This window comes from Homo sapiens, chromosome 14 (genome assembly GCF_000001405.40).
Source record: "Homo sapiens chromosome 14, GRCh38.p14 Primary Assembly".
Lineage (NCBI taxonomy): Eukaryota > Metazoa > Chordata > Mammalia > Primates > Hominidae > Homo > Homo sapiens.
In genome coordinates, this window is record NC_000014.9 from 21667866 (window position 1) to 21687135 (window position 19270).

The 19270-nt window shown below is 38.5% G+C and overlaps 1 protein-coding gene and 1 further gene across 1 annotated transcript; one reads left to right on the top strand and one right to left on the bottom strand.

Moving 5' to 3' along the window:
• TRA (T cell receptor alpha locus) overlaps positions 1–19270 on the top strand; it is a 930229-nt gene that overhangs the window by 45962 nt on the left and 864997 nt on the right.
• On the bottom strand, positions 21–5953 carry OR4E1 (olfactory receptor family 4 subfamily E member 1). The gene is made up of 2 exons (NM_001317107.2): positions 5225–5953; positions 21–3087 (listed from the first exon to the last, which is right to left on the bottom strand). The coding sequence occupies exon 2, from the start codon at positions 3068–3070 to the stop codon at positions 2123–2125; it is 948 nt and encodes a 315-aa protein (NP_001304036.1). The 5' UTR covers positions 3071–3087; positions 5225–5953; the 3' UTR covers positions 21–2122.

A 19270-nucleotide genomic window follows, 5' to 3' on the forward strand; every position in this document is an offset into this window, starting at 1 on the left:
AAGTAAGTAAACCACAGAGCCAAGCATCAAGATCTTTTATTTTTGTTCTTTAAGACTCTCTATTTATTTAGTGAGTAATTAAATACATTTTTATCTTGTCTCTGAGTCTGAAAAGCTTTTTTCTGTAAAACGGAGACAAAATGTTTTATTTTTACGTCCCCAGAGAGTTGAAAAATTAGTGTGACTAAAAACGGGTAGTGTCAGAAATTTTGCTTGCTGCTATGAAAAAAATAAGCAAACATCACAACGTTGTTCCGTTATAGTTTTACCAGCTACAATCTTAATGGCTACGTTGAAGCATTGTGTTGTTGACAGACAATATGACAATTTTGCACGTGTTCCTCTGTATGGCTGATTCCTGCACAAGCAGTTCCATTTGGGCTCATTGGAAAGATATTTAGATATTTCTCCTTATTGTCTGCCATTGCCTATAATAAAAGGGCATTTATTTTACATAAATTTTATAATTCTTGTGTCACTTGAATATCCTTCCTAACACATTTCCTAGCAAATAAAAATTTTCCTCCTAAAAATCATGATGTAGACCTTGTGGCTCACAGGTTTATTGATCATACACTCACTGAGTGCCTAGGAAATCCCAGCTGCATTTAAGCATGCCTTTTTTAGCGATGATGTGAGAACAAACTGATGATTTCCAATGTGTCATGCTCTTTTGTAAACATGAATATGAGATGCCGTTATCTGGGATATCCTCTTCATATCCCAGTTGATTCACCACATTCCATTCTGCTACACTATGTGCCGCCACAGTGAGATTTAAGATGTTGGTTTATAGACAATGGTTTATCCAACTTGGTGTTTTCTACCAAGTTTCTACCAAGTTGTTTTCTAAGTATTTATGACTAAGTACTTAACAGTCATCCATTGCTCTAAGAACAATATTGGATGCTGTTGCTTAGTTGAGTGAATTCTCTACATAATAACTAAAATAATTTTATTAAAACATAAATTATTTCATGCCACACCTGTGCTTAAATCATTCTGGTGGCTTCTTATTGTACTGGAAAAGATTCTAAACTTCTTGAGAGAATATGGAAAGATTCTTTTTAGCTCTCTGATATCACTCTCTTGCCACTCTCTGCCTTATAGTCTAAGCTGTAATCACACTGATCATTTACTTCCTTGAACAAGCCAAGGTCTTTCCCAGCATAGATCTTTGCACCGGCCATTTCCCCTGTCTAGAATGTCCATCACCTCTCTTATGGCTGGCTCCTTTTAATCTTAAATGTAACTTCCTCAGAGAGGCCATCCTTGACCACTAAAGCAAGTCTCTTCCATACTCTCTAACAGCACCCTGCTGTTTTATAGCATTTATCACAATCTGTAGTTAAAATTTATTTGTTCATATTTTTGTTTTCTATTTTCACTAGACCCTAAACTCCATGAAGGAAGGACTACATGTATGTCTTATTTATGGCTATAAACCTAGTATCTGGTACATAATAAGTGCTCAGTAAATATTTGTCAAATGAATGAATAGTAAGATATCCCCATTTCATTGCTCTGATGGCAGATTTTGCCTGGATACTTGAGAGTGTCAGTAACTTCACCTGTTCAAAGTCTTCTTTCTCTGTCACCAAAGTCATGTGGAAACTCACTTTATCTGCTTCACTAGTGTTTGCTAAGCTGTTTACATAAGCATCTGAGTGAATGATGCAGGCAAGGGCTGCCCAGAAATCTGAAGGTTTGTTTAGACCTTGGTTATCACTCCAACAGAAAAGCAGAAAGAGGCAGCATATGTTGTGAAAAGAGCTTGAGTTTCTGTTGATCCACTTGGATTCACATGCTGCCTTCATTGTTTTCTAGCTGAGTGACTTTGGGCATGTTATTTACTCTCCTCGAGCTTTAGTTTCTTCATGTACAAACAAGCATCATAATATCTACCTTTCAAAGTTGTGAGAATTAAGTAAATGCACAGTGCCTAGAATAATTTCCAGCACAGAGAAGATATTAATAACCATAACGATTGCTATGACTGTCAGATATTGGACCAAGGATAGTTTTATAAGTCACATAGTCTGATAAATATGGTATGTAACTTATTCTTTGCAAGGCGCTTCTTTAATTTGGAGCACCACGTATCCTAAGGACGTAGACATTTTCATTTTTCTTCTTTTCTCTCTTTTCTCCCCACTAACTTGTTTAAGGCACTCTTCATTTCTTCATTCCTAAGGGTATAGATAATGGGGTTCAGCAGGGGGGTGACTGCAGTGAAAAACACAGATACTACCTTGTCCTCTGGGAGGCTGGTGGATGGGCGGGAATAGATGAAGATGCAGTGTCCCAGGAACAGTGTAACTACAGTGAGATGGGCTGCACAGGTGGACAGGGCCTTCCGCTTGCCCTTGGAGATCTGCTGCCTCAGACTCACCAGGATGACTGCGTAGGACACCACCAGGACCACAAAACAGACCACGGAGATCAATCCACTGTTGGAGACAATGAGGATCTCAATGACGTGGGTGTCAATGCAGGCCAGCTTGATCACCTGAGGTACATCACAGAAGAAGTTGTCAATCTCATCAGGACCACAGTAGGGCAGCTTGATGGTAAGGGAGGTGAGGGCTATGGAGTGGATGGTCCCTCCTGTCCAGAGGGCCACAGCCAGCAGCACACATACCTTCCAGTTCATCACTATCATGTACTGCAGGGGTTTACAGATGGCCACATACCGATCATAGGCCATGACGGTGAGGAGGAAGATCTCTGTGCAGGCAAAGAGGTGCAGGAAGAACATCTGGGTCACACAGGCATCAAAAGAGATGAGCTTTTCCTCTGACCACACGTCTCTCAGCATCTTGGGGACAGTGACAGTGGAGTGGCAGACATCAATAAAGGACAGGTTGCTGAGGAAGAAATACATGGGAGTATGGAGCCGGTGGTCATAGATAATAGTTATGACAATGAGAACATTCCCAATCAGTGTCAGGACATAAAAAATGAGGAACATGGAAAACATAGCTATCCGTGCCTTATGATTTACAGATAAACCTCTAAGCCGAAAATATGTCACTAAAGAAGTTTGATTGAGTAGGATGGCCTCTTCCATTCTCTTTGTTAGACAACCTGTAAAGAATTAGAAAAAAAGTCTAATATAACACAGTATCTGCATCAATCATTTGGTCATTTAATTTCTTGTGTGTTTATGCCTTTTCTCTCCATCTAGAATTTATGGTAAAATATCTTGCATTTCTTTTAAAAATCCCCATTAACATCTTACATGATGATACACCCATAGTAGGTACTTAACATACACTTTTGGAATAATAAAATAGAGAATCTTCATTCATTAAGAGATATAAAACAATCTTGAAGAGGGAGAGAGAGAGGGAAAGACCAAACAAGTTATTTCTCCATTAATGTAGTAGGATATCAATGTTTAGATTTAGGTTATGGATTTTTACAGGAGAAGAAGTTAAGATTCTCTTTAACTCAAATACATAATTTGTTCAAGGCTACACAAATATGGTCCCTGAACATAGCTTTTTTTTTTAATAGTCCTGCAGACTGCACTTTTCATCAACCCAAACCACTTGCTCAGCTGTTGGCTTTGCCATGGGGCTCTGAGACTGTAATTTCCATGACATAACTTTCAGAGGGCAGAAGCTTTGTACCAAGCTACTGGACAATTGGCAACGTGGCTGTGATGTTCTTGAACAATTGTTTAGAGAAGGCAGGATAAAACCCTGGAAGCCTTGGAAAATGTGGAAGTTGACCTCTCCTCCACCCCTCAGCTGAGGGCAGACTTATTCTTAAACTGGGAGTCAAGATCCAAGCCTAATAACATTACTGTCTTGATTAGATCACTCTAGCTCTTTTCAAAGTCCCGTTCTGTTGTCTTACTGGCCCACAAGTGAAATAAAAATAGTTATTTTCTTTTAAATTAGCCTATGACTCAAGCACCACTATTTTTTAAAATAACGAGCATATGCATTATAGTCACAGGATTTTAGCCCTTAAAGGGACTTGAGAGTTGACATAATCTATTTTTTTTTCATTTTACAAATAGAGAAAATGAGGCACAGAGAGTCAAATCAACTGGTCCAAGGTTACACGGAACTGGAGTCACAGCTGGGTCTAGAGCTCAGGTCTCCCGACTCTTGGTTCAGGCTTCGTCCGCTCTACCACCACTCTCATCTGAATTTTTGTGGTAGTTGGTAGAATCAGGGAGTGAAGCAGAATATGTCTTAGTGGCCTCTCTCTTCCTCTCCTTGGTGTCCTGAGTCAGATTGTGGGGCAGGGTTAGGGGGACTATGAGGAATCTCTCTTTTCTAGCTTTCCTCCTTCATGCTGCTGCCCTGACACACACAGCCTTCCAGGGGTGGCCCACCCAAGGAAGCTGTCTCTCTTGGTTGCTTGGGCCCCATGATCCTTGCTACTTCCTTCCTATCACAAGTGACTACTGGAGATTTATATCATCCCTCAAGATCAGGCTCCCTGGCAGACTAATGAGTCAACCCCACACTGCTTGTGAAATGTGGCAAAGAAGATATTTTTGGGGCCAGAGAAGTCCTTCAGTTAACACTTAAAAATTAAACTCACTGTGTCCAGTGTTTGGATTAATATTTACAGCAGCATCTAAATGTAGCTATTGATTGATTTTACTGTTTAGAAATTTTTCTTCGAGTATTCGTTTGAAGCTTTTGCTCCAAGAAGTGATTTTAAGTGTTACTGATTTACACTTGTTTTCATGGTCGCAAAATTCAAAGCCGAAGAGCTGACCAAGAATGGGGCTAGGATTTTATTCAGTATGGGAAATTTCACCTGCACAGACTGAAGAGGGTGTGCAGACCAAGAACTAGGTCTGAAATGAAGGCTTCTGTTCTCCCCTCATAGAATATGGATATACATTTTAAACTAAACTTTTTCCATAATTATCATTTTTTTCTATTTCTGTGGAGCCACAGGAAAAAAATGCTTTGCAAAATGGAGATGTGTTCAACTGCAGTAGAAAGAATATGGTGCACAAGAAGAAAACCTAGTGTTTTTTGCATACATTTCAAGGAAATGGGGAAAGATGATTAAGAACAGATATAAAATCCAACTAAAATATCTATAAAAGTCACCTGGGTTGTTTCTGATGCTCTTAGTACCTCCAAAAGTAACAGAAGTGTCAGTCCTGCACTTTCAATATCAAGACTTTTATCTTCCAGTAGAAATAACAACTTATTTGAAGTTGGACTAGTCAGATAACCCCATTTACCTTGCTTTCTCCAATAAGAAAGGTGAGAGCCCTTGAAGTTCCCTCCTTAGGTCTTGTTCACAGTTTTGGTGATGTCACAGTAGATGTATTTGGCGATATTTTCTGGTAAAAGGTACTATTTCAGGCTGTCTGTAAAAATCACACCTTTGTAGCTATATTATTATCATATTTTTCAATATGTCAAAATATGTAATTCTGCACCAAGATTTTCTAGGATTGGTTTCCAGTTAACAGAAAATGTAGTACAGAAATAATATATATGTTTTCACTTTTCCAGATTGTAGTGGTGAGTAGAGGAGATTAAAAGCCACAGTCAAGCCCGGGCAACATGGCGAAACCCCGTCTCTACAAAAAATACAAAAAATTAGCTGGGCATGTTGGCTTATACCTGTGGTTCCAGCTGCTCAGGAGGCTGAGGCAGGAGGATTTCTTGAACCCAGGAGGTCAAGGCTGCAGTGAGCCGTGATTTTACCACTGCACTCCATCCTGAGCAACACAACGACCCTGTCCAAAAAAAAAAAAAAAAAAAAAGAGTCAGCCACTTTTGCAGGCCCTTCAGGTTTATTAGGACACTTCTAACACAAAACTTGATCTAATTATTCAGAAAACCAGTGCGGCAGAAGCATCCTATTTCCTTTGCAGCACACTGTTTAGGTGCAAGTTTTGTATTGCCAGTTTCAGGTGGATTATTCCACCTTCAAGTACTGAAGGGGAATCTGTAGAGAAAGAAGCGCTGGCAGCTGTAGTGTTGGTGTTGTTCTACCTACATTATATAGGCTTTATGTCCTTGGGAACTTTTAAGCAATGACATCAGCTTGCCCTACTCACTAGTTAAGAAAAGTTAATTCTGTGGGGAATGAAGTTACAGACTTTGCAATAATCACCAAGAGAATTAAATGAGAAAAGCAGTACTTAAATACCTAAATCTTTAGGATGTATTTATATATGGTTAGATTAACTACTATTTAGTGATTGCCTACTATGTGCTAAGTATTAGGTAATAGGCTTTCATGTTTTCTTATTTAACTCATATAAAAATACAGAGATGAGAGAAGGGTAATGAAGTTAAGATTTTTTTTTTTTTTTGAGATGGAGTCTCACTCTGTCACCCAGGCTAGAGTACAGTGGCGCGATCTCTGCTCACTGCAGGCGCCGTTCCCCAGGTTTACGCCATTCTCCTGCCTCAGCCTCCTGTGTAGCTGGGACTACGGGTGCCTGCTACCTTGCCCGGCTAATTTTTTTTGTATTTTTAGTAGAGACGGGGTTTCACCGTGTTAGCCAGGATGGTCTTGATCTCCTGACCTCGTGATCCGCCTGCCTCGGCCTTCCAAAGTGCTGGAATTACAGGCATGAGCTACTGCGCCCAGCCGAGGTTAAGATTTTAGTCAGCTTTCTGACAGAGAGATTAAGTGCTTTGACTCTAGAGCAGATTGGGTGCAAATTCCAATGTCCTACACGTGCTAATTGGAGCAAGTTATTTAGCTTCTCTGGTCCTTAGATTTCCCATCCGTAAGCTTGAATAGTAATAGTAAAACTTTTTAGAACTCTTGAAATATTTGTAAAGCATGTAGCTCTTAGCATATTAATATAATTATGTTAAATGCAATTCAAACAAACAAAAAAACAGCCGACCATCACTACCAGTCAACATTTTTGGCTTCATTTTTTCATTATTTTGGATAACAGTGAAAATTTAGAACCTCTTGTTCCAATTTTCTTTTTGCTTTCTCTCTTTAGATAGATGAGCTTGGTGGTTTAAATTGGTGAAACAAGACTCCAAAGGAGAGGTATGAAGATTATACTTTCAGTTTGAATTTCAAGACTGAATAGTTTTGTGGGATGGTTAGGATATCTTAAATAAAGGGTATGGAGCATAAAATAAATCTTATAGCCAACTCTCCATGTGACAGTGAGTAGAAGAGAAGATGGTAATAAGAGTGAACATATCAGAAGTTACAGAAAATGCTTTCTCCTAAGGCCTTGTGGCTTGGGCTTCTTTTCCCTAGTTTTCTTGTTTGATTCATTATCACTGATCAAAGTCCAGACTTGGCTGTAATGAAGAAGGTGTAGCTTCCAGAACTTTACAGATATTGCCACTTGGTCACTGTGGGACTTCTATTGTCATTGTAATAGCCTTGGAAATCAGGGGACACATTAAGAACAGGGATATGCTGGCCATACTAATTATCTGTTAAAACAAATGAAATATGGCCTGAGAAGGACTCTGTACTTGAGTCCTTGTGGATGACCTGTAACCTAGCTTAATAGGCAGACAAGATTGAAAACCTAACTTAGGAGTATGCACCTGTAACAGTAGCTGAGTTTTGGCCAATCCCAGCAGCCATACTTCAACCACTCATAGTCTGCTAAGTGTTCAAACTGTGTTCAAATAAGGCAAATGTCAACCTGGTGCACCAATCCAGCTGTTTCTATACCTCACTTCTGATTTCTGTACTTCATTTCCCCTTTTCTTTTGTCTGTAAATCTTCTTCCACCATGTGGCTGTGCTGGAGTCTCTCTGAATCTTGCTTTGATTCTGGGGGCTGCCTGATTTGCGAATGATACTTTGCTCAATTAAACTTCTTTAAATTTAATTTGGCTGAAGCTTTTCTTTTAACAAATGGTGTCAGAAGTGGGATCTGAAGTAGACCTTCTAACAACCTCCAAAATTGCTGAGTCAACAAGCAAGTTACCTGATGAACGTATTTGTGTCCTTTGATGTCTCAGAATGGCTGGGGATTGTGGTAAGTTCTCTCTCAGATTTCGGAGCTCCACAGATTTATGTTTTGAGCTCTCCAGGTTTCTTTGAGCAAATTTCTGATCCAAACTGGGTTTGAAAGTCATGACAGAAACTGGACGGGTTGAGGATCAAATTTGATCTGGTAATTAACTAGCTTGGATCCAGTTAGAAGCCTCTTACCTCTGACTGGGTCAGAAAGAAACTGGTAGTAAGAGGTAATATTGCAGGGGTTATAAAATTTTGCTTTTAAAAATTCACAAGGATTTTTGTGTTCTACTCCTTTGTTTCATTTTTCTTGCACACTTAGGTAGGAAAGATCATTGGCTAAGTTAATCAATGGAACCTAGAGCCACGCCAATATTTTAGGTAAAAATGGGATTCTCAGTTTCTGAAAAACTGAGTTCCTTCTAGCTTATACATTATACATACATTATACATACATATACATTCCTTCCAACTTATACATTAGGCCTGGGAAGCAGCAAAGTCTTAGAGAAATGGTGAAATCTTACTAAAGATAATTTACAGTGGAATGTTCTGAATAAACAACAACATAGAAGTGTATTTAAAAATAAGGGCTCCTCCACGTGGCTCAGGCCTGTAATCCCAGCACTTTGGGAGGCCCAGGCGGGCGGATCACGAGGTCAGGAGATCAAGACCAGGGTGAAACCCCGTCTCTACTAAAAATACAAAAAATTAGCCGGGCGCAGTGGCGGGCGCATGTAGTCCCAGCTACTCGGGAGGCTGAGGCAGGAGAATCGCATGAACCCGGGAGGCGGAGCTTGCCCTCAGCCGAGATCGCACCACTGCACTCCAGCCCAGGCGACAGAGTAAGACTCTGTCTCAAAAAAAAACAAAAAAAAAACAAAAAAAGGGCTCCTCAAAATTAAATCTGCTAACTGTTTAGTTTAGTTACTATCCTGATCCAAAGGAAACAGACTGCAGCACCAATTGGCTGACTTTGGGTAAGTAGTGGGGTACATTTTACCTGAGTAAAGGATGGGATTGCATTGGAGGCCCTCCCCTCAGTAAAGTCCCTCTTGGTTAAAAATGGATTAAAGATGACAGGGCTCAACCAGGGGCAAGTTTGAGCCTTGCCAGTTCAATACTGCATGCTAAGCAGAGTGGCTAATGTCTATGTTTTGTCACATGTATTTTGCTCTGTCCAGAATGCCAAATGTTAATTTCATTACCCTATGCAACCCCTTGGGTGGCATCCTGCAACAGTGAGAAAATTTTGCCTGTGGTTCCATGATTTTTTGTGTATGTGGTTGGCTCCCTGGCACTATAGTATGTTTCAGGGAAGGGGAACCCAGGAACCTAACACGCTGGCAAAAGTGTAAGAATTTCTTACCAGTCAGGTTTCTGGCCTCTCTTTCCCTGTGCTTCTCTTTCCTTGTGCAAACTGGGAAAGTTCTGGCCTCTCTTTCCCTGTGTAAACTGGTTAAATGAATGGTAAAAAATCACTGTTTATCTTCTGCAAAGTTTTGATTAATGGAAAAAAGTATTTATGAGGTTAGTCTTAAGCTGTAGCGAATCTGGTATGTTTATGCATCTTCTGTATCATTCTTTCATAAAGAGGGGTACCATAGGATTGAACATGGGCTTTAAACCCCATAAGCCCACTGCTCAAGATGGCCCAGCAAGCTGGTCAGTAACAAACTTTGCTGCAGGATCCTGAAACAAACAAAAAAACTGGATAAGGTCTCCATATTGTTTTATGTCTTTGGGAGCTTGACCTTGTGACCATATGGTGGTACTTTCTCTTGCTCTCTGCCTTCCAGGGAAAAGGAATTTTAGGGTTCATGTCATAGTTACCTCTAAAAATTATCTTGAGTAGTTAAAAGCCTTTGCAAGCTCAAAATTAACTACTCTAGACTCCTTCTGGGATGGGCAGTGGAGACTTCCCAGTGCTGTAGCTCAGTAGCTAAGATTTTGTTCTTTCACAGTGGTGGCTTGGATTCAATCCTGGCTTAGGAAATGCATACTTTCTGGTTGATATCTGTGTGACCTTTATCATTTGTTAATTCTCTTCCTCTCCATGAACAACTTCTGACTTCCCTTCTTGAATTTTCCTTTCTTTGAGCTACCTTTGAAGATTCTAGATTTTGTAAAAACTGCATGTTTTCCTAGCCCTGTTTCTTGAAGGGCTCTGCCCTAAGGCCAGAATTAAGAAACTGGCAAATAAAACATCTAATAACTACTGGATCTTCTTCTGTCTGTGTATTTATGTATGTGTTGTGTGTATGATGTTTATATAAAAGATCTCTAATTAATTGGCATAAAAATAAGCTCTTAAATCAAATATTTTGAAAGAAAGATAAAAATCCTAATGTCTTTTAGCTCATGTAACTTTAGTAATCTTTGGGAAATAAAAACAGCTTTAAAGATTATTGGTAAAATAAAGACATTTGGTCTAAATTAGGCAGGTCAGATATTAGGTTTATTAAATGCTTTAAGGTCATGAACTGTTTTGACTTTTGAAAATTGTTCAATTTACCTACCTTGAAGACACTAGATTCTAGATAAGCCCTGGGGACATGTGGAATTAGCAATGCCCCTTAGCCATGCAAAGAAGGTTATAAAGAAAAGATATTTTTATATAAGAAAGAATACTGTATGTTAAATTCTTATCCTAAAGTAAAATAATGGTTATTTAAAAAGAGAGATGTTTAGGACAAGTCAGAAAGTCCAAGCACACTGTAGATGAAAGTCTGTGTAAGTCATGAAAGGATTCGTGAAAGGAAATCTGTGCACCAAAAGCAAAAGTTGCTGAGTTACCATTATAAGATGTGATTGAGATTACTGAAAAAAATAGTTTTACGTGCAGGGTATGTGAGGATAGTAAAATGTGTTTTTGGCAAAAGATTATAAGAAGGCATGGGAATGTAAATTTTTGCCTAGTTTAGAGGGTTAAAGGATTGTTTTAAATTATGTTAGAATAAGCTAAAAGCTTGAACAAGGTGTAGAAGGGTTGTAAAAATTAATCTTGTAAAAGAAATTCTGTGTGTGAACATATTGACTAAATTTAAAAGGGGATTATTTGTTTTTTCTGTAAATTGAACATCAAAATAAAAGCACAAACAGGGGTTTCTTAAAGCACTCATCTGCTCTTTAACAAAAATTTGTAAAGGGTTATAAAAGGTTTATCGGAATCTCACCTTATGGTCAAACTGATGAAGACTGGTTAGATTTGTCTATAGACAAATAGACAATAGATAGATTATAATCTATCCAAATTATATATAATTTGTTTTATTAAGAATTGGGTTTGACATTAATAATATACTAATGCAAGGGTAAAATTTGGCTTTCTCTCTTGAACAAGATTTTCATGTAATATTAAAGGATAATGAAAGATTTTTCTTTGCCTTTTGAGTAAACTACTGAAAAAACGGAAAGACAACAGACCAATTGGAAAGCTAAGTCTGTCCTTTATCAATGAGTAAAGGTTTTTGTCTTTTGAAAACTTCGAGTCATCATTTTGGCTAAATGAATGACTTATGGTAATCTGGAATACTAGTTCATAATATTAAGTGTTTTAAACCTTTAACATATTTAATAGGCTTCTCAAAATCAAATTTCAGCTTCAAAATTGTCTTTTCTGACCTCTAATTTTGAGATGATACAGAGGGCTCTTGAAGCATCTAAAAGAGAGATAAACAGGATTATTTGACATGTTTAGTTACATGGGATCGTCAAAATAAAAACAATGTTTAATCTTCTTCAGGTTATATTTTCATGAATAATAATAATATATTCCAAAATTTTATGCATTTCTAAAATTCTGATATGTCTGAGTATATGCTATCAATCATAATTATGGTTATTGTTATTATAGATCACAGAAATAACCACATTTCCTTGTCTGTTCTGTCTTTACAGCTATTTAAAGTCACTTCCACAGGTAATTGCATAATGCTGATGCAATTTCTAAAAATTTCACAAGCACATAAAATCCTAAAATATGATGTCTTTTAGGAGATTCATGAAAGGATGGAAAGGACCCTGAAAAGTGCTCTTGAATATAGGTTTCTAATAACTTTAAAATCACATCGTGGGTAAAATTCCCCAATTTCCCCAGAATTGGACCGGGTAAGAATTCCTGAAACTTTAATAAAAAGACTGATTGGTTTATAAAACTGCTTACCCCAGTAGAACAAAAATTAATTAAATACCGAGAAAATACTTTGCCAGGTTTTCATGCTAACTCAGCCAATATTAAAATTGTTGAGACATACAATTTGAATGAACTCCATGCTCTAACTGAAATTACCTATGACAACCCGTCAGTTATCAGTGTTATGCACCTAAGTCAGAGAAACAACTGGTATTCAAGAGGACATAAGTCTAGTGTTAAGCATGGACTCATGGAGAACCAGGAAGGCTGCCTTGTCCTTCCTGAGTCCTTAAAGCTTTTGTTATTAAAGGTTCTGCATTTCATGACTCATCATGGAAAAGATAAAATTATCCACATTACATGCATACTGGTGTGGTGACTTATACATTGCTAAATTAGTTTGTAACCAGTATTTGGTTTGTTAAATCCATATTCTTGGGAAGACAACCAAAGCTTCAGGTACACTTGGCTACCCGATGGGCCATTTAAACATTTATAAAGGGATTTCATTCAATTGCCATTTTCAACGCATGTTTTCTGTTTGTATAAAAGCTTTCCCATGCAAGAGGGCTGATGTTATAACAGTAGATTATTACGCTACAGTGTATTTTCACCTGGTAAAGAAAGGTTTTTATGATTCCCTGAGGACAATCAGCCCCTACACAATCTAGAACCCAAAGATTGGATCTTCTGAGAACATCAGAGAAAGACTGTCCTTGACATCCACACTATAGCAAAACTTTGGAACTTTGAACTTTGGGTTCGTAATCTCACAACTGAGAAGGGTCCCTCCACACTCTTGGAACTGTACATCCATTGGAACCCTTAAGGTAAAGCTAACCAGGGAAATTTCTCCCCAGAAGAAGATGCCATCCTTGATATAAACAGCTTTTCCCAAGATCACAGATCAAGACTTCTACTATTATGAGACTCTTATCTTTGAATACTTTTTCCTTGTTTATGCCTCTGTGAACAATAGAAATGGAAAGGGGGTCTGTTGTGTGCACTTATATGGTATACTTTTATTCATAAATGATTTTGCAGCCAGCCTTACACATGAATAACCTTATACCTTTACAGATAAAAAAATGAAAGCCCATTGTAGTTGAGAAACTTTAAAGGTAGAAATATTGCCATGTAATCAGTCAGAAACAGAACATGGATTCACTCCTCTTAACCCACATCGTGGGCTAAAGAGAATGTTGCTAGGAGGTCTTCACTCTTCCCAAAGGCATCATTTGTTAGGTCATTTTTCTGTGGTTTGAAGTAAAAGAGGCAATGATTAGAAATGTATCCCTCATGATAGGCACTATAGCAGATTCTACTGCAAAGACTATGCTTACACAACAGACTTTAAAGTCTCTTGTGACAGTTATGCTAAACAGTAGAATTGGCTAAACAGAGAAGAATCTGTGCAGTGCTAGCACTTGTGGCCTAGGAAGAAATACATTGGGTATTATAGAGATTCAGTTGTAGGGGATTAACAAAAAGATCACTTAGTTAAGCAAGTGGACTCTTTATCTAGCTCATTCTTTGATCTATTTGATTTTAGGTGGTTTGGTTTATGGGGAACCTGGGTAAGGAGCATACTCCAAACTCTTGGTATTATCCTCCCAATAGTTACCACAGTAGTCTCTCTGGTGCACTATATTCTCTTGAAGGTTTTAAATGTTTGCATGCAGCCATCTCTAGAATGTCAAATGGTCTCTCTTCAACTGGAATGACAAAAGCTGAAGTAAACATGTGACCATGAGGACACCGTAAACTATGAAGGACATGCTGATACCAGAAACCCAAAATGATGGTAACTGAGAGTGGCACTAAGGCCTTAAGTTTGGTTACGCTCTCACCTAAGTGAGAACCTGGCCAAAAAGGGGGAATTTTTTAGAACAAAATTATGGGAGGCCATTGTATTGGACTAAGATCATGCACTAGACCCCAACAGACCAAACCAAACCAAAACGGAGTTGCTTATGCTAAATTTGACGTAATGAAACTAAGACTTTAAGGAAACACATAAATTCTAGAACAGACCAGGTTTTGTTTTTCTCCTGAAAACAGAATATTTCAGCATAGGGAGGTACCCACTCAGTCCTTATTCTCTCCTTGGAAAACTCATTCTTCTACTGTTTCCCAGCGGGTTTGAAGACCAAATAAGTACATTTATGATGGTGATCATGACATTAATGACTAAAGTTTTGGTCAATCTCTCAAAATTGAGAAAATGACCAAAAGTGGGGAATTGTTAAAGCAAGCTAAATATAGCCTGAGAAAGACTACATACTTCTATATTTGAGTTTTGTGGATGAACTGTAACCTAGCTTAATTGAAAACCTTGCTTAGGAGTATGTGCCTGTAACAATAGCTGAGTCTTGGCCAATCCCAGTGGCCATACTTCAACCACTCAAAGACTGCAAAGTGTTCAAACTCTGTTCAAATAAGGCAAATGCCAACCTGTAACCAATCTAACTGTTTCTATACCTCACTCCTGACTTATGTACTTCATTTTCTTTTTTTTTTTCATCTATAAATCTTCTTCCACCACAAGGCTGCACTGGAGTCTGTCTGAATCTGCTGTGATTCTGGGGGCTGCCCAATTTGTGAATCACTCATTTCTCAATTAAACTCCTTTGGCTGAAATTTTTCTTTTAACACCTCTGTACTTTTGGAATAGAAGTACTTTATCATAGGCATGATATATCAAGGGCAATACAGAAAATGATATTCAGTTGATCGTAAGGCAATTACTCTCACCACTTTTTTAGTAAAATGCAAGATTGAGAATTAATCTTTGACTGTCTTATATCACAGTTCCCTGCTTTCCCCCAAGCCCTTGGTGGCCTTTCTCCTTGGCCCATGACTTTTTTCTGACTATACACAGATGGCCTCTGAGGTGTCCCACTAAGGCTTTTCCTCCCTGAAAGTATGTCCCTCTTATTCCAAAATGTATTCCACAGAATAAATGAAAACAGTGGTTTACACTTGCATAGCACTTTAGAGTTTACAAAGCTCCTTCTCACTCATTATTTTATTTGCTTTTTATAACACTCCTGTGAGGTAGGGAGCACTATGGAAAAATTGGATTGGTGTTAAGTGATTTTCACAGAGTTTACATGCCAGGTTAGCTCCCGAACCAGGGCTTAAACTCAGTCTTCTGGTGCCAAGTCCAGTGTTTACTCCATTACTTCACTTGGATGCTGCATATTATAAAGGAGAAATAGCTTCAAGATATGAATGATTGGTTAACCTCACCTTCTATGGAAGATGCACACTTAAAAGAATTGCTTGTTAAATCATATAGAAATTTTTCATTGGTGTAGGAGAGAGAGCAGTTTTTTAATTATTAACTGACATTTTCCTTCTTCCCATTCTACTCTTTCCATTCCAAAAGATCAGTGATATGGTCTTCACTGCTGAAAGGTCACTGACTCACTACTAAAAGTAATCAATCAGCAGCCAATAACCTAGGATGTGTACAATATCATACTTACTGTAGTATGAGATAAAAAGGCTCATAAGAGTAATGATCCTTTCCTATGAGGAATTTATAACACAGTGAATTAAGATGACATTTATTTTAGGAGTTGAAGGAAACCCCTTGAAAAAAACTTTGGGGTGATATCTGTAAACGCAATATGAATTAAATGTGTTGTGACCTTCCGTCTGAGCCCTTCCATCCCCCACAGAAGAAGGTAAGAAATCAACAGAGCTTGCATGCCCCTGGTGGGACCATCATTCTGTTTTTCACAATAAACTGCTGAAACCAGACCTTAAGAGGAAGCTACAATTAGATCTCATCACCTACCCACCTGCTTTCAAAAGAGACCAATCAGGTTAATTCCCTCAAGCTATGTATGCCTGTTTATTCCAGTGTTCACAACATCTTTGAACCTTCAGATCACCCTTATGGACTCTTATGTCCATAAAGCTTGGTACTTTCTGTAGTCTAACTTTTATCCTTTTCAGACCCTGCACACACTCTTCATTATGTACTCTGGCTAGCATTTTGCAAGCAGAATCCCTTATGACCTCCACTGTTTTTTTTTTTTTTTTGCACATTACCTTTATATTACTGCAGTCCTGTTAAGCAGTGCAGGGTTTTTCTGCTATGCTGGGTCTCAAGTTTTGGTAAGTGCCATTTTTGTTTTTTCAAAACCATGCTGATTCAGATAATTTCTCTTTCTTCCTTTGTAGAAATTTCTATGCTTCGAAGAAAATTTTAACAGACTGTTCCAACTGCAACCCTTTCTTGTTTTATCTTCAATGATCCTCTCAGCCACTCACCCTCCCTCCTCAAATATTTTGCCAATTATAATCATCTGCACAGATGACCATTCAATACTTTGGCCTCAGTTATTTAGCCTCTTCTACAGTAATTTCACCCTCCAACCCTAACTCAGCCATTCCCATGAACATGCTCCTGAATTTTCAGTATCAATAACAGCAACCCATCCATGCTGTTTCAAGTATTCTACTTTCTGATCACCAACTTTTAACCTTTCCTGTTCATTCCTTCTAGTACTCCCAATTATACATTTTTTCAAACCTGCCAGAAACACCAATCCATTGATCCTATCATCCTCTCACTATCCTTTATTCCTCTCAGATTGTTACTCCTTCCTTATCCAACTTAAACTCCAAGGTGTAAGTTTATAATAATACCTTTGCATACACCTTCTACTCATTTGTTCATCTGCCCCATCCACTGGAGGTTTTTCCAGGAATTATGTTCAATGCAATGCCCATTTTTGGGGTATGCCTGAGCTGATGAAGGAAAACACACAACAAGATAGAAGGTCTTACAATTGTGACCACAACCTCAAATAGGCAGTTCTGCATTTTCTGTAGTCAATTTACATTTTTACTCTCCGTGGTAATTGTTTTATACAGAGTTTACTCAAATCTTTAGCAAATCCTTCTAACTTTTAGATTCAGCTAAAGAACCGCTTACTATTTTAATAAAAAAAGTAATCAGAAGAGAAGTTTTACCCCATCCCACTGCTAACTACATCCACCAGTCTGCATCTGAAACTGCAAACTCTGCCTATTCTTATAATGGGCATTCTGCTCTATCTAAGGCCAACCCCTCCATTTGTACCCGGGATCCCAGCCTTTCTTGCCTCTCAAGGACTTTGCTCGAGCAACTGTGTCTCTAGCATCATCACATTTCGGTCACTGTTGAAGCATTCCCATCAGCACACAAATATGCTGTAATAATTTCAATATTAAAAAAAATTCCTTGACATCACATTTTTCTTCAACGGGCCACCTATTTTCTCTGCTTTTCTTTATAGCTGCATTCCTTGACAGAATTACCTATACTAATAGTTTCCACTTCATCTGCTACCATTTGTTTATTGAACCTACTCTGATCTGACTTTGTGTCTCAATGACTCCGCTAGAATAGTTCTCACCTAGATCACCAGTGACATCCATACTTCCAAATTCAATGGGCAGTTCTTGGTCCTTGTCTCATTTGACCTTTCAGCATCATTTAACATGGTCAACTTTTTTTTTGTTTAAATTTTTATTTTTTAAATTAAATTAAAAAAATTTTTTTTTTTTTTAGGCTGGGTGTGGTGGCTCATGCCTGTAATCCCAGCACTTTGGGAGGCAGAGGCAGGTGGATCACCTGAGGTCAGGAGTTCGAGAACAGCCTGGCCAACATGGCAAAACCCTGTATCTACTAAAAATACAAAAATTAGCCAGGCATAGTGGTGCATGCCTGTAGTCCTAGCTACTTGGGAGGCTGAGGCAGGAGAATCGCTTGAACCCGGGAGGCAGAGGTTGCAGTGAGCCGAGCTAGTGCCATTGCACTCCAGCTGGGGTGACAGAGTGAGACTCTGTCTCAAAAAAAAAGAGAACAGATTTTTTTTAGAGTCAGGGTCTTGCTCTATTGCCTAAGCTGGAGTGGTGTGCTGCCTTTGCCTCTCTAGAAGGTAGGACTATAGTTGTGCATGACCACGCCCAGCTGATTAATTTTTTTTTTGTAGAGATAAGGGTCGCACTAGGGACTACTGGAGATAGCCACCATGCCTGGCTCTTTCTCTTTTTTGAAAGAGGACACTTCACTCTCCTATTCCCCCTGCCCCAATTTCCTGGTTGCTCCCTTAAACTCTCCTTTATAGTACCCTCTTTCTCTTCATGACCTCTAAATGAAATGCCTCAAGGATCAGTCCTCAGATTTTTCTTTTCTCTGTTTATGCTTTCTAAGTGAACCCATCCAAGCTAATTATTTTAATGCCATCTTTGTGCTGATCGCCGGAATTTTTATCTATAGCCCTAACTTCTCTGAGCCATAGTTTTGTATATTCTTTTGTGGCCTACTTAACGTCTCTACTTGGATTTCTAAAGAGTATCCAAAGTTTAAAAGCAATCTAAAACAAAACTCTTCTTTGCATGCTATCTGAAAGTGATAACTCCATTGTCCTCCCCATTTTTGTAACAGCATTACCATTCATCCAACTACTAAACAAGACATTCTGAATTCATCTTTATCTTCTCTCTGGTATCCCACAGTCAGCCATTCATCAGCAAATACAAATAGCTCTGCACTTAAAGTATATTCTGAACCTCACCACTTCTCAGCCATAATCAAAGGCACCATTATCGCACTTTGACTACTGCAACAGCTTCTTATCTATTTCTCTATTTCAACTCTTGCCTTCCTCTTAGATCCTGCTCTCCAATCAGCAATCTGATTCATTCTTCAGAATGAATCATGTGTCTGTTTGTACTCAAAAGTAATCACTTCCCTCTATCCTTTCTTGTTCATTAAACTCTAACCACACTGAATTCCTTGTGTTTCTTGAGCACACTAAACATCCTCTCCTCGCATGACCTTTGAACTAACTATTCCCTTTGTCTAGAATAGTTTTTCACCTTATAGTACCTGGTTCTCTGCTTCATTTTCTTCAGGTCTTTGGTGCAATGTCACCACTTGAGAGAGGACTTCTTTGAGAGAGGTTGCCAAAAAGAACACTCCAAATCTAATTCTGCTGTCAATGACCTCCAACCAATCACAATTAGAAGCAAACCTGTAGTCAAACTAAGTTGGGTTTGTTGACTCCTTGTAATGAGGGAGACCATGGAAGTTCCAGTAAGTAAGAGGATTTTAGAAAGAACATATAGGGTTTGGGTTTTTGTTAGGTGATAATGGGAAAGGTTCAAGGAAGCAGGCTTTTCT